This window comes from Homo sapiens, chromosome 10, assembly GCF_000001405.40.
Source record: "Homo sapiens chromosome 10, GRCh38.p14 Primary Assembly".
In the NCBI taxonomy this organism is placed as follows: domain Eukaryota; kingdom Metazoa; phylum Chordata; class Mammalia; order Primates; family Hominidae; genus Homo; species Homo sapiens.
The window spans coordinates 49,098,272-49,113,472 of NC_000010.11; the positions used below are offsets into that span (position 1 = coordinate 49,098,272).

Below are 15,201 nucleotides of genomic sequence, written 5' to 3' on the forward strand. Positions count from 1 at the left end.
CTTCATCACGTCTCACCTGCAGTGAGGCTACACCTGCATCTGGCCTGCTCGTGATGAATGAGTGAAAAGCTGCTACACATATTTACAGAGTTAGACCCCTGGGTGTCATCCCAAAGCTCTCTCCATCATTCACATCCAGTCCATCAGTAAAGACTTCACATCTGACCTCTTAATGTCTCCCCATTCCTACTGCCAAAGTTAGTCCTCCATCATTTCAAGCTCGTGCAACTACAAAAGACCCCACTTCCTCCTCCTCTAATCTGATTCCCCCCAGATCCATGCTCCAGGGAGCCAACATTCAAAAGGCTTAGAATGCTTTGTAAGCTTCCAGGCCTAATGCAGAGTCCCCAAAGCCCTGGCATGAGCTGCAGTGCCTGTCCCTCTGGACATCCATGCCGCCCCCACATAAACCACCAAGGACATCTCCAACATTGCCCTCTCCCTCAGCTCTTAAGGGACCCTGCGGTGTGTTCCCACAGTGCCCTGTGTGCATCCTGTCCCCTGCACTCACACTGCAAAACCCCATGTGTTTGTGTGTCTGCCACCCCATAGGCAGATCCACCCATGTGTTTCTGGGTCTCCATTATTGCAACAGCCTGGCACGCAGTAGGTGTTTGATAACATGCACACTGAGTGAAGGGATAAATGAATTTACCTAGCGCTGATGGACATCATCAATACTATTTTCTGGTGCTATTTCTTCACTGAGCCGAGCAAACCTTCCTCAATAGAATGGATCCTGTCTCTGAAGGCGGTTGCTCATTTCCTCATCACATTTGCCTCTCTTCTCTAGCTTAAATCTGTCTGTCTGGAAATGAAGTTCCCAAAGCTGACTGTGTAGTCCCAGTTAGGGTCTCACCAGTGTAGTACCTACGACACAATCACCTCCTTCTCAGGGGCTCCAGGTCGATTTGTATGTGGATGGAAACAACACCAGCTGTTGAGATGCAGTCTCACGTTGCAAATGCACGGCTGATTCGCTGCTATTATCACTCCGAATCCTTTCGCAGAGAGAGCCTCCCAGCAGCATCCAGCAATGCTTAAGATTTGTTTTCCCCACATGTATTGCTGTGCTGTTTTTCAAATTGAATTTCATTTTGTTATTTCCTGCCTATATTTCTTACCGCTCTGGAATCATTTTTATCATGTGTGATTTCTCACTGATGTTAAGAACATTTCCCAATTTTGCATTTTCTAGAAAGTTCATTAGGGTGATGTGGGCTTCTTTTTCAATGTTATTGATAAAACAATCAAAGGAAATCAAACCTAACATTGACCCTCATGATTTCCACTAGAAACCTCTCCAGGGGTTTCCGATGCCATGTGTCACTTAGGACTTTTCAATCCATTTTCTCTCTAAGCAGGATTTCTCACCCAGTGAAATCATCACATGGCACAGGCAATTGGAGAAACTGCGTCTTTTTCTTTGCCTTTCCTTTTACCATTGGGTAATAAAAACGACATCAACAAGTTCATCTGGCATGAGATTCTGTGAATAAGCCAGGCATGGCTCCACTGTTCTCCAGAGATTCTGTCCCTTTCATTCTTCATGTGCTAGAGACAGAGCAAAACCCTGTCTCTACTAAAAATACAAAAATTAGCTGGGTGGTGGCTGGTGCCTGTAATCGCAGCTACTTGAGAGGCTGAGGCAGGAGAATCGCTTGAACCCAGGAGGAGGCAGTTGCAGTGAGCCAAGATCATGCCACTGCACTCCAGTCTGGGAGACAGAGCCAGACTCCGTGAAAAAGGAAAAAGAAAAAGAAAAAGGAAGGAAAAGGAAAAAGAAAAGGAAAGATGCCTAAGAGATATTATCAGGGCAATCCCAGTTGTTTTTTTGATAGGTTAACCAGTAAGGATCATGAAAAAGCCACGGTTGCCTCAAAGCTGGCTTTTAATAAGATAACTGACAGTCTCTAAGGGTAGCTGTATGGGCTAGATGGAAGATGTGGTCAAGATAAAAACTGAAATAGTAGGTTAAAACTCACAGTAGTGTCATACAGAAAGGGTACAGGTAGTACTGGCCAATGCAATATGGTTAGAAAAATAATGAGATACTAATTCATAGATACTATTGAAATGCAACTGAGAAACACCACATCTGAAATAATAAGTTAACTCATTATGTTGCCAAATATAACTCAACAAAAGTCAAACTTTCTATATACCAGCAATACCGATTTAAAATCTTCACATACATGTGTCTGCATAGCAGGAGATGGTATATCCTAATTACAATTATAAAATACCTAGAAGTAAATATAATAAAAATGTTCGAGAGTCATGTGAAAAAAAATTGTACTGAAAGACATTTAAAAAAAAAACCCTGACTACATGAAGGAATACAACAAGTTCCTGGATAGGAACATTTAAAATCATAAAGATGTCTAAGATGAATATGCCCATAACAAAGTAACCTAAGAAGCCAATGAAATCCCAATCAAACCCCAATGTAATTTTTACAAAACTGGGTAAGTGGATCCTCAAGAGCATCTTAAAGAAAAACTAAATGTATAAGAATAGCTAAGAATTTAAAAAATAATGAGGATATTTGCCCTATTCTATAATAATTAGAATAGTGCTATATTGGTGAAGTGTACAAAGTTTTCATTTAAATATAGGGATTTAGCTTATGAAAAATGTGACATGTCAAGCTAGAAAAATACCTCTTCAACAGACAGTGTAGGGATAACATTTTAGCCTTTTGTAAAGAAAAAATAAATTAGCTACTATATACCTTATATAAAAAAACAGATTCCAAAGAGATAAAGGAGTAAAGCTTTCTTTTAATCATCTAAAAATATTAAAGAAAAATATGGAAAACACTTTTATAAGCTTGGGGCAGGGAATCCTTTCCAAGATTCGATACAAAACCAAGGTACCATGTACAATGTATTGAATGTAAATTACATTTCAATAAAAAATTCCACTAGAAAAGAATGCCACAAAGGAAAAAATATCAAATTTGACTACATAAATATCCAGAAATGTGAAATATCTATACGGTAAAAGAAAATATAAACAACGTGGAAAGAAAAGTAACAAACAGGAATAAAATTTTGTACCATATGTAATAGCTAAAAAATTAATGATCAGATCTACACACACACGTACACATATATAAAAAAGACAGCAACCCATTTATTAAGGTTATGGCCAGGAAATTCACAGAATAAATAAATGAACCATGAATAACAATGTTCAACCTTGCTAATAATTGAATACAAAAACAGAAATTAAATTGCACTGTATTGTATTGAATATAATAATCGAAATTAAAACAATGAAATATTTTTCCAATTGTGATAAATAATGGAAAAGATTAATAATATTGATTGTTAAAGAGGCTTCAGGGAAATATCATGCAATGATGGTCAGAGTATAAATTTGTAAAGTCTTTTCAGTGATAGCATTTTGGCATTGTCTACAAAAATTTTAAATATGCTTAGCCTTAGGCCCAGCAATTCCCTTTCCAGGAATCTAACTAACAGATACACTTGGAAAGATGTACAAGGATTTCACTGAAGCACTGTTTATGTTGGTGAAACACTGGAAGATTCCTAAGTGTCTATCACTGCGGGAATGATTGGATACAGTTTGGTATTATCTCACTATATAATACCAGTTACAAAAGAATACATGTAATATCACCAACAACTTATAAAGCAATACATGCACTATTGTTAAAATACATGTGTGTCTGCGTGTGTGTGTGTGTGTTTGTGTGTGTGTATGAATGTCAATAGGAAAGAGATTTGAAAGATCTAAACCAAATTATTGACAATGATTATCTCTGGGGATGGGAGTGGAACTGGGGATATTAGGTAGTGGGTAGGAGAAAGATATTTGCGCATTTTAGTTTTTGCATTGTTTGACTCTTTTTTGTTTTTTGTTTTTTTTTTTGAGAGCGGAGTGCTGGAGTGCAGTGGCGGGATCTTGGCTCACTGCAGCCTTTGCCTCCTGGGTTTAAGCAATTCTTCATCTCAGCCTCCCGAGTAGCTGGGATTACAGGTGCACACCACCACACCTGGCTAATTTTTGTATTTTTGTAGAGATGGGGTTTCACCATGTTGGCCAGGCTGGTCTTGAACTCTTGACTTCGTGATCCACCCACCTCGGCCTCCCAAAGTGCTGGGATTACAGGCGTAAGCCACCATGCCTGGCCAACTCTTTTATGTATAATATTTTTGACATCATCACTGTGCCACAGCAGCTTGAAAAACAACGGCATGACCACATAATGTTGTGTCTACAGTGCTAAAAACAGAAGCTACAAGATGTTGCCAGTGGGAGAGCACTCCATGGGCTGGCATGCCCAAAGAAGGCATTGATGGAAGATGAAAGCTGGATGTGGAGCCCCAAAAAATATGTATGATTGAAATAGGTCAAGGGAAAGAGAGGTAAGGCATCCCAGAGAGGGTGACTACATCCACCAAGTCACGCCTACTTCAAAGTCATCCACAGCAACAGTTGCTAATGACACTTGACAAAGAACATTTTATTCATTCATCAAGTATCTATTGAGGATCAACTGTGTACCAGGCACTGTTGCAGGCATTCATTGTTATCATCATCATCCTCAAAAAGTATATGATTGTGTTAGTCTGGGATCCCAGAGAAACAGAACGAACACACCCAGAAATAATGTTTTACCTGCTATCTGGGCATCGTTTAGCCTAGTCAAGTCAACACATAAAATTAACCAACACTCTTATGTAGACCAATCCGTGGGGAAAAGGCATTTTCAATGCTGGTGGTAATATAAATTTGTAAACTATTTTAGAGGTCAATTCACTTCTTGAAATTGTGTCCATTTTTAATTTGGGTAGATCTTTGGACCCGGCAATCTTATTTCCAGGATTTTATGCTAAGGTCAGGGATATTCATGGAGATTTATTGACAAAGATTTACAGCAGCTTCAAATGTCCAGTAACAATAAGCAGGAAGCTAAATTGAGGTCCACCTGCATGATGGAACATTATTCCATCATTAACATTATGTTTTTGAGGCATATTTAACAAGGGAAAATGTGCACACTATTTAGTAATATCAGAAAAGCGAGTCACAGAACACTCTTTACAGTAAGATTGAAATTAGGTTTTAAATTTTAATTTGCATAAAATGACAGGAAGGATTTGCACTGAAATGTTAAGTTGAGTAGAGATATGGTAAGTCATTTTTATTTTCTTCTTTAAACCCTTTCAGTATTTTTCCATGTTTTCTATAATTGAACTATATTACACTATATTACTTTTGCAATAGAAAACAACCAACATATGGAAATCAGGACAGATAATAAGAGCCAACACTCCTATGGCTCTTCTCAGAACTGGGAGTTATTTTTTAAATATATCATCGCAAGTCACCCTCCATGTGCTGGGCGAGGTGTTCATGACAGGGAAATGAGGAGAGACCAGGCACCAGCCTTTCTTTCTGGGAGTTTCCAGTGAAAGACAAGCAATTTTATCTCACATCAAGAACTCTGCAGGAAGGAGGCCATGGTTAAGTCTGCGGTGAAGGGCAAAGAGTGAGGTAGTATTACAAGGGAAATCCCAAGAAAAGCTCCCCTCTCCACTGGATGGCTGGAGACTCCTGTTGAAAGGAGGGAGGTGACATGAGCAGGTTAGACAAGAGAGACCACGGGCCTGGGGTGGGGGGCACTCAAACCCCCAAGAGCTCCTGTTTGATATTCTAACCCAAAGGTACGGACCACAGAACTTCTCATCCTTGTTGTTCTGTGTTTTTGTTTTCCATTTAAGGTGGCTCACACCTGTAATCTCAGCACTTTGGGAGGCCGAGGTGGGTGGATCACCTGAGGTCACAAGTTCAAGACCAGCCTGGCCAACATGGAGAAACCCTACCTCTACTAAAAATACAAAAATGAGCTGGGTGTGGTGGCGCATAGCTGTAATCCCAGCTACTCAGGAGACTGAGACAGGAGAATTGCTTGAACCCAGGAGGCAAAGGCTGCAGTGAGCCAAGATCACACCACTGCACTCCAGCCTGGGAGACAGAGCAAGGAGACTCTGTCTCAAAAACAACAACAACAACTATGAACATGAGGTGGAAATTTAGGAAAATAAGGCCGTTGGAGAGGAGCAAGGCCCAGGACACCGGGAAAGGTGCTCTGGGAGGCTGCAGCCATGCGCCTCTCCTGGCCCTGCCCAGGAAGAACAGGCAGCCAAGGCTCTGCACAGCCCCAGCCTGGGGCGGACAAGCTCCAACCCAAACAGCCTGCCTGGTTTCAGGCCATTTGCTTGGGGTTGCTTTTCCTTAACTGCCTTGGAACAGTCCCCTGGAAGCCTAAATAGAATGTTCTAGAAGATATGGTCATTGCTTCCTAAGGTTTTGAATCTTTCCATCAGCAAATCATGGCCCTGCCCAGGAGCTGAGATGGAGCAGACATGGCAAGGGAGGCTGAGCTCCGCTGAGAGGGTAGAACCACTTCTGGGTGAGAGGTCAGAGGGGAGTGGGCGAGAGAAGTGGAGAGACACAGAGAGATAGAGAGATACAGAGAGAGAGACACACAGAGAGATAGAGAGATACAGAGGGAGAGAGACACAGAGAGAGAGAGAGGGACAGAGACACACACGGAGAGAGAAAGAGACAGAGATACAAAGAGAGAGAGAGACACAGAGAGAGAGAGAAGGAAAGACAGAGAAACAGTGAGAGAAAGACACAGAGGGAGAGAGACAGAGAGACACAGAGGGAGACAGAGACACAGAGAGACAGAGAGAGAGACAGAGAGATACAGAGGGAGAGAGACCAGAGAGACAGAGGGAGACAGAGAGAGAGGGAGAGACAGAGACACAGAGAGAGACAGACACAGAGGGAGAGAGAGACAGAGAGAGATGGAAAGACAGAGAGAGACAGAGAGAGACCAAAAGACAAAGAGAGAGACAGAAGGAGAAAGAGACAGAGAGAGAGAGGGAGAGACAGAGAGACAGAGAGAGAGAGAGAGAGAGAGACAGAGAGGGAAAGAGATAGAAAGCCAGAAACAGAGAGACAGAGAGAGACGAAGAGACACAGAGGGAGGAAGAGACAGAGAAAGAGAGAGAGACGGGGGGGGGAGAGACAGAGAGAGATATACCAAGAGACAGAGAGAGAGAGAGACAGAAAGAGAGAGAAAGAGGGAGAGGCAGAGAGAGAAAGAGTGACAGACAGAGAGAGAGGAAAGACGAAGAAGAAAAGAGGCGGGGAGTGAAGGGAAGGGGAGCTGAGGAGGGGAAGGAAGAGAAACCAGAGGACCAGGGCAGGAAAGTGGGGGAGCAAGAGAAGAAGTGGGGAAAGATTCTTATTTCCAGTGAGGTGTTAAAAACTACCTCATGTTTTTGGAGCAAGTTCCCAAACAAATGTTCTAGACTGAACCCAGCTTCACTCACTGAAATGAGATTCACGTTAACCAACAAGCTAAATGACTCTGCTTACTTGAAGGTAGCAAAGCTTTTATATGCTTTATTTGGCAGAATGTCATCACTGCCAAGATATTTCGTCTGTGACTCCAGAATACACTGTGACACAAACACCAAAAACAACACAATTCACACATACACACGTATCATATGTGTGTGTGTATATATATATATATATCTTGTGTGTATATATATATGTATGTATATATCTTGTATATATAAAAGATCTTGTGTTTCACAGCCAAGTGGTATTTGCAGTGGGTTCTTGGCCCAGCCCTTGATGATCTGATGTCTTGTTTTCTATGTGAAAATAATAAGCCAATAGTCATTGGTTTTCTTGAATTAATTTGCTTAAGGAGAAAAATTGCACATTCTATTTAATACCTCATTCTGTACTTATAAACATTACAACAAGCAAACTCCAAAGACAAGTAAAATTGAACTACTGTAAAGACTCTGTATATAAATTATTTTACTCTATGTCCCTTATTCATATAGGACATTAAAAATACTTTTCACAACTAAGTTTTGTCCTTTAAAAAGGCTTGTCAAAACAACATCACTAAGGACTTGAGTATTTTGTTATATGTGTACAATAAAATTAGACCCTTTTTTGTATTTGAGACTATCAGCTGTACTTTGTGATCCTCTTGATCTTGTGCCAAACTAAATTCAATTTCAAAGCAATCAAAGGCAAAATTTAGTGCATAATAGGAAGTCTTACTAAAATTGTGAGAGGTGTCTTCCCGAATAGAAACATTGGTGATAAAAAAATGACAACCCCAAAATATGGCACTTGGTAGCTGAGATGTTGCAGAAATGCTGTCCATCCCTCCTATCTGTCTTCAGGAAGGGAGGGCTACCCCTGGTCCTCTGCCCACTTCCTCATGAATTTCTTGGCGAGCTGTTGCCTAAGTTTGGATCAGTTCCACTGGGCAACCAGCCTGCCCTGCTCCCAGGCCTGACGACTCACAGCAAAACCTCCCAACGCGTGCCTCCTCCATGGGTGCCCGGCACCCCCCAGCCAAAGCCATCAAGCCTGCACAGACCTGGGTGGGAGGCTGAGCACTGACAAACATGCTCTCCTTAGCCAAACTCCAGCCGGGCTCCTCAGAGCCCCTTCTCGACTAAGCCTCAGTCTTGGCCTAAAGACTCCAACAAACACTAACATAGTTTCTAATGGCTCAAGGCCACATGCCTATGCCTACGATGACCTCCTGAAAGTGCCTGCCTGAGAAAACTCAAGGCTGCCAAAAGCATTTACTGCTTGTTCCAGCCAACACCTGAAGACAAAACCCCCATCTCCCCATCTCTGTGGGAAGGTAGAAACCAAACTTCAAACTTCGATAAGCATCTTAGCAAACCCAGATGGCTCCACATAAGCCAAACCTCTCCCTACTGCTTTTTGCAATTTTCACACTTCTTTGACTCTACTGAGTCCCCACTCACCCCCACTCACTCATTCTCCTTTTAAAACAACCAGTCATGTCTGCACAAATCAGAGTTGAGTCCAGTTCATGCCAGGCTCTCTTCTCTACTGCAATAGCTACTGCTGAATAAAATCTGCCCTGACCCCTTTGACCAGGGTCCAGCTTTGTTTACCTTTGACAGCACACAGCAGTCCAACTTCAGACACATAAGAGGCTTTGCCCAGAGATTGGGCTGGGCCATGTTGGGGCAGGCACTTGGTCCTTTCTGTTCTCACTTCTGTGTCTACACAGCACATTAGCCAGTGTCCAGGTAAAGATCTACCCTCACCCCATGGCATGACTCATGTCTGTGACCAACAGAGGCCCACAAGATATGTTCTAGTGCAACACAGCCAACCCGGGAGCCCCTGGGTGGTGGCTGCAAAGGGGGGCCTACTGGCCTGCCCCACCACCACCTCTACCCAGGGAGACCAAGACCCTCACCTCTCATTTCCGTGGCTGAGGAGCCATTGGACCAGGCCGTCCACTTGTTCCTGTGCCTGCTGATTTCCTGGACTCTGCAGACGTAATGCCCTTGATCGGAGGGCTGCAGTGTCAAGACGGAGAGCCTGTAGAGCGCCCCCCGCTGCTCCTCCAGCAGGCGCAGCCTCCGCCGTTTGGCGCTGCGGCTGAAATTCCCATAGTACTGCACCACCCGGAGCTTGGTCATCTTCACCATCAAGGCCTCCTGGGAGTCGAAGGAGTGTGCAAAGAACCAGCGCACGGCCAGCAAGCTGTCCTTCCGCCTTTTCTGGGAGACGTGGCAGAGGAGAGTGGCATTCTCCCCCTCCAGGTAGTCAACCACGGGCCCCGGGGACACAGTGACATTGAGGGCCGCACAGACCTCTGCAGAGAAAAAGGGGAGAAGAGAGGATGAGGAGGGCCCCAAGTCCCCCTGTGGGCAGTCCACAGTCGAGGAGCCAGGAAATGCCTCCACGCACTGGGCATCCTAGTGCTCTGCCTGGCCAGAGAAGCAGGCGGCCCCTCACCTCTCCAGAGGAGGGGTTCTTCTGGGGGTGAGCCTCTGTGGGCCCCCACTGTCTCATCTATGGGACCACCCTGTCCATGTGGGATGCTAAACAATGACCTCCTGACCCAGAAGTATTTTTCAAAATTTTGTAATTAGTTGCTGACGTTTAAAATTCAAATTTCATGTAAAAGATTTAGATTTTTGGAATTTCTTAAAAATGTCTAGCCCACATCCAACCCCCCACCACTCCCCACACCTCACCACCTGGCCCCTGCCCCTCCCCAAGGCCTACTTTTATCAGTTTTGTCCCTGGCCTGATGTCAGCTGTGCTGTGGGTGGGGAGCCGCCCTGGAGCAGGGCAGGGTAGGGCCCTCTCTCTGGTGGCCTGTCCACCAGGAAGCTGGGCCCCTTTCCCTGACTCCGCTATTTCAACTGTACCCAGGGCAGATGAGTAGTAAGGTCGGATGTGAGCTGGGACAACAGGGGTTGCTTGGTTTCCTATTTGTAGGATCCATCGTCTCAGAGTTGAAGAGCAAGAATAAAGAATGATTAAACCCCAGGAAGAGGAGGGATGAGAGACTCTCCCAACAACCCAAAAGACACTTTGGAATTCCAGGCCCCATCCACAACTTCCTGTCCTTTGGTTCCTTAGTTAAAACCAGCCCGAGGGCTGCCCACTCCCAGCCACTGTTCTGCCCCTGAGCTGACCTGTGATGGAGCCACCCCAGCGCCCACTCCACCACCCAGACCAGTAGACCTCAGAGAGGCCGACTGCTGAAGTCTTCTCCCAGGAGCCACGATTCATGGTGTACCCTGGACTGCCCAGTGCGACCAGGCTGCCCGGTGCTCACAGCACAGCCCTCTGGCAGGCAGGGCCCGAGAAAAGATGCTTTGCACAGGATGCCTGGAACCTCTTTCTGCCAAGTCAGGGCTGTCTTCTCACCAGGTTCCATGTCCCCACCCCTGTACTGCCCCATGTATCACTCCAGGAAGCCATTCGCCTCCACCCCCCCACACAAGCAGGTGTCCCCATGGTCATCCCAAAGCACAGCTTTCAGTCCCAAAATGCCACCATCTGGTAACAGAAGAGGGCTTGGGCCCCAGATGTCACAGCCACCAAAACCTTTGACCCCTGGGCAGTGCTGCAGGGAAGCAAGGAGGAAAGTGGAAAAACAGATCAAGCAAGATCTGAACATTTGACAAGGAGGCTGTGGAGCAGCAAGCAGGCGGCCCTGCGGTGGGCTGGGGGAGGGATGGTAGATACAAACTATTCTTCATTGTAAAAATCCAGGCAACAGGTCTTCCTCCTATACAGTTTCCACTATTGATTTAATAACTGAACACCTCAAGACAGATGATTTCAGGATCATTTTTCCTTAATTTTCTTTCTCATCTCTCAGAAGACAAGCACTAGCCCACAGGATATTCAAGGGTAATTCCATGAGCCTTGACTTCATCACACCCATAAAGTCCCTTTTGTCATATAACGTTCCATTCACAGGTCCCCAGGGATTAAAACACCAAAGTCTTTGATATATATGGAAGTGAGCTCAGAAGAAAAAGGGTTAAGGCTCAGCTGGACTCTCCGCTGGATGGGTATGAGGTCTTCTATGCCTACAGTGATGCGGGAGATACTTAGGGCTGCAGACTAATGTGTAGCCAAAGGAGGGACCCACTCTGGTAGCAATCCCGCTGTCATCAGAAGCCCCTCCTGCAAGGCAAATGAAGAGGAATTGGCCCCACAATTCCCCCTGCATCTCGCCCACCTGGCAGGCACCTGGCCCATGGGCCATGTTAAATTAGTCAGAAGACATTTCTTCCTCACTGCTGAAGCCCTGTGTGAAGTCCACACAGCTCCCACGGCAGGAGCTCCCTGGTGAGGAATGCAGCAGCTGGGGGACACTGGCTGACCCAGCTCCAACAGCTGCTGGGGTTGGGCAGCCACAGAGAGCAGCAACGATGCAGCAGCTGGCTTCCAGAACTGAAGTCCAGCCCCACCCCGCCCTCAAGAGCTTCCCAGTGGAGGCCAGGAGAGCTGAGGAAGGCAGGAAATTGAAACAAGATGGGTGGGATGAGAGTGCAGCCGGGACCCCACGCCCCAGGCTCCTCCTATTAATGCTACATGGAAGAGGGATTATTTATAGTGACTGAAACCAGAAGGATGTGCCAAGTGCTCCAGTCCCCATGGGAGGCCAGATTTCTTCCTGGAGGCAAGCTAGTAACCCTTCCACTTCTGTGGCTCAGGACAGGGTCAGGGGATCCCAGGAAAGGGAAAGGACTATTCTCTAGCCTTCCAGGATGAACCCTCTTTTTATAGGCGCACCTCCCTGCCTTCATTTTGCCCCATATTCTCTTACAAATGGCACAAACTTCTGTTTCTTCTACCAAAGTGCAAAGACCTTTGTTATGGGTTGAATTGTGTCCTCCCAAAATTCATATGTTGAAGCGTTAGCCCCAGGACCTAAGAATGGGACTGTATTTGCAGATAGGGTCTTTAAAGGAGTAATTAAATTAAAATAAAGTCATTAAGCTGGGCCCTAATCTAGTATCAATGGTCTTTATAAGAAGAGGAGATAAGAACACAAACACCACAGAGGGAAGACCCTGTGAAGACACAGGGAGAAGGTGGCATCTCCAAGCCAAGGAGAGAGGCCTCAGGAGAAACCAACCCTGCCAGCACCTTGATTGGATTTCCAGACTCCAAAATGTGATGTTTCTGTTGTGTAAGTACCCCAGCCTATGGTACTCTGTTATGACAGCGTAAGCACACTAATCCAGCCCTGTTCACAGCAAGCTTCATTCCAGCCCTCTACCTGCACCTTCAGCACCAGGAGGTGGGTGGTGTGGTTAGAACTCTGATGGCCACAGGCCCCCGCCAAGTCTGAAAGCTTTGCTGGAGGACACAAGCTATTCAGGTTGTGGGGTCCCTGTGCCTGTGACAAGCCTTCTCAGCAAAGCTGGGTGCCTTGAGTAACATTCTTCTCTTCCCCAGCCCTGCCTTAAACCCAGCAAAGGTGGCACATGTATCCAGGCAACTGTGAGATGGGGCAAAGCAGGAGGGAGGAGAGGGAATGCAGTTAGGGCACCCAGGGGCTGGCAAATGTGAGCCAGTTGGGTGTTTATTTCAATACTAAGAGAGAGGTAGTCCGTTATCTTCCCCCGCAGTCATCAGGACCATAGGGCTCAGCAGAGGGAACACCAATGGCAATCAGAGGACAGGACGAGGGGAAGCAGGTGCAGCAGTGTCCAGAGGCAGGAGACAGTGTACAGGGCCCCCGGGAGCCCAGGCTCTTCCCTCTGGATCTCAGTCTGAATGACAGTCCATGCATGCCCAGCTTGTCAGAGGGGCAGGACCTGATGGTGTCACTCGCCCCCTCCTCCACCAGGTAGATGATGGAGCAGCCAGGCAGGGCAGATCCTCCCTCTCCTGGCCTAGGAAGGATTGCCAAAGTCACTCAGGCCCGAAGAAGAAATTAATTTCTTGTTTTGTGACCCTGTGTTGCGGAGAATTGAGGTGGGAGGGAGACGCATCGTCCCCCTCCCCGTTGTACCTCTCCACTCACAGTTCCTGCTTCCTCCAGCTTAAGCCTCATGCAGCAGGCATGTTGTGAAGAAGAAAACAACATTCCTGACCTTGTGCAGTGGACAGTCCAGTGGGTAAGGCAGCCACTCATTGGGGAAAAGACATGGGAGAATATAACTACAGTGTCACATGCCACAGAGAAAAGTGCAGGGTTTAAGAAAATCATGGCAAGATCCTGATCTAGACTTCGGGGTCAGGGGAAGGGACTCTGGGGATGTGAGCTTGAGCTAAAGACTCACTTGCAGCTAATGAAATAAAGTTCAAGGCAGCAACAAGGAATGATTTCCAAGGAGGGAGCCCCACCTCTGCAAATGTTGTGAGGCAAGAGGGACCCTGTACAGGCTGGAAATGGAAAGGTCAGTTCATCCTGGTGAACTGTACCCCACTGTGGCCCAACAGCCACCCTTGCCAACACATGATCCTCAGAAGGCATTCCCTACCCCAGTCAGGTTCCCCAAGGCCACTTTTTGAAGGAGGAATATAACAAAACTGATAGGGAAGAGACTGATACAAACAGAGGGACAGGATTCCTGCTGCAGCAAATCCCAGTCTCCAACAAGCACATGCTCTGGGACTTGGTAGTCCTGGGCACCACATGGGCTAAGCACTGGATGTTTATGGTCCCAGGCCTTCTCTGGTAGTTGCAGAGAAACGATGAGACACAGAAGCAGTGGCTTGGTGGGGCTGGGTAGAGAGCCAGGGGCTGGCATCTGACAGAACCAGGCCGGAAACCTGATTCTGTTAGGTGTGAGCCTCCTGGAGTTTCAGTTTCCTCATCCGAAAAATGGGAAAAGGATGCCTTTCACAGTAAGCATAGGCTCCAATGCAAAAGCACCCTTAAAATACAGATAGAGTTTGCATGCCCTGAGACTGGGGAGGTGGGAGCAATAGAAAGTGACATGCACACTGTCCTGTGAGTACAGTGGGCTTCGTGGGCCCACGACCTGCAGGCACACAGGACCCCATGGTTGGAAGTCCTCACACCCCAACATGGTTTAATCTCTGCTGTTGCTATCTTGAAATTTTAATACATTTTAACAAGGAGGCCCACATTTTCATTTGACACTGGATCCCACAAGCGATGTAGCTGGTTATGTTTGTAGACGAATCTCAAATTCCTGTGGATAAAAGTTAAGGTGTCTAACCCCCTTGCTTATATTTGAATAATGTCATGAAAAGGACTAACACCACTCTGAAAACAGCCTAGGACACCGTTGTAGCTGAATAGAACAACCTACTCATTGTGAAGTGGGAGATGGCCACTTCCAGGTGAGGGAGTAAGGACAACTAACAGAACAAGGCAGCAGCCTCATCTGGGATGCAGAGGTGGGCACAGTCCCTCGGTTCTGAGCAGGCCAGGGATGTGCTCGTAGCTGTGTGCCTCCCACTTCCTCTCTGCCTGAAGAAACTGCACCTGCTCACTTCAGGGAGACCAGAGCCTCTAAGTTTATAAGGAATGCAAACTGTCAGTACTGATCAGCAGCAGTGAGCTTTCTTATTAAAAGAATAGTCTGAATTCATACAGCTAAATCTCTGAAAGAAATAGTTATATTACTTAACAGTCTTTGGCACCAGGAGCCAGTATTTACTGAGCACTAAGCAGAGGTGATGCCAGACCTAGCCCATGGACTGATTCACTCACATTAGCCTATCACCTGAAAATAGCTCCATCCAGGATAAAAATATCACCTTGCCCAATGATAGAGGCTAATACCTGCCGGGTACAAACTCTATGCCCTTTAGATGTATTTTCTCAATTTATCCTGATAC

General features: G+C 46.0%; 1 protein-coding gene across 5 annotated transcripts in view, besides 1 other annotated feature; it reads right to left on the reverse strand.

Moving 5' to 3' along the window:
* The window catches only part of VSTM4 (V-set and transmembrane domain containing 4), a 101,287-nt gene that overhangs the window by 84,036 nt on the left and 2,050 nt on the right, over positions 1–15,201 (reverse strand). For 4 of the 5 annotated variants that reach the window (XR_001747052.3, NM_001031746.5, XM_047424711.1 and 1 more), the window contains exon 2: positions 9,323–9,724. Coding sequence is in view for 4 of the 5 variants with exons in the window: in NM_001031746.5 (NP_001026916.2) it covers positions 9,323–9,724 (402 nt within the window). In the remaining variant the exon portion in view is untranslated. Of the gene's footprint in view, positions 1–3,900; positions 5,590–9,322; positions 9,725–15,201 lie in introns of those variants that run through there. The other variant, NM_144984.4, reaches the window with a different exon arrangement.
* Positions 10,257–11,235: an enhancer, noted in NCBI's record as "H3K4me1 hESC enhancer chr10:50316573-50317551 (GRCh37/hg19 assembly coordinates)". NCBI's record gives its function as "activates a minimal SCP1, AML or CMV promoter by ChIP-STARR-seq in primed H9 embryonic stem cells {active_cell/tissue: H9 hESC(primed)}" and the evidence as "EXISTENCE:reporter gene assay evidence [ECO:0000049][PMID:30033119]".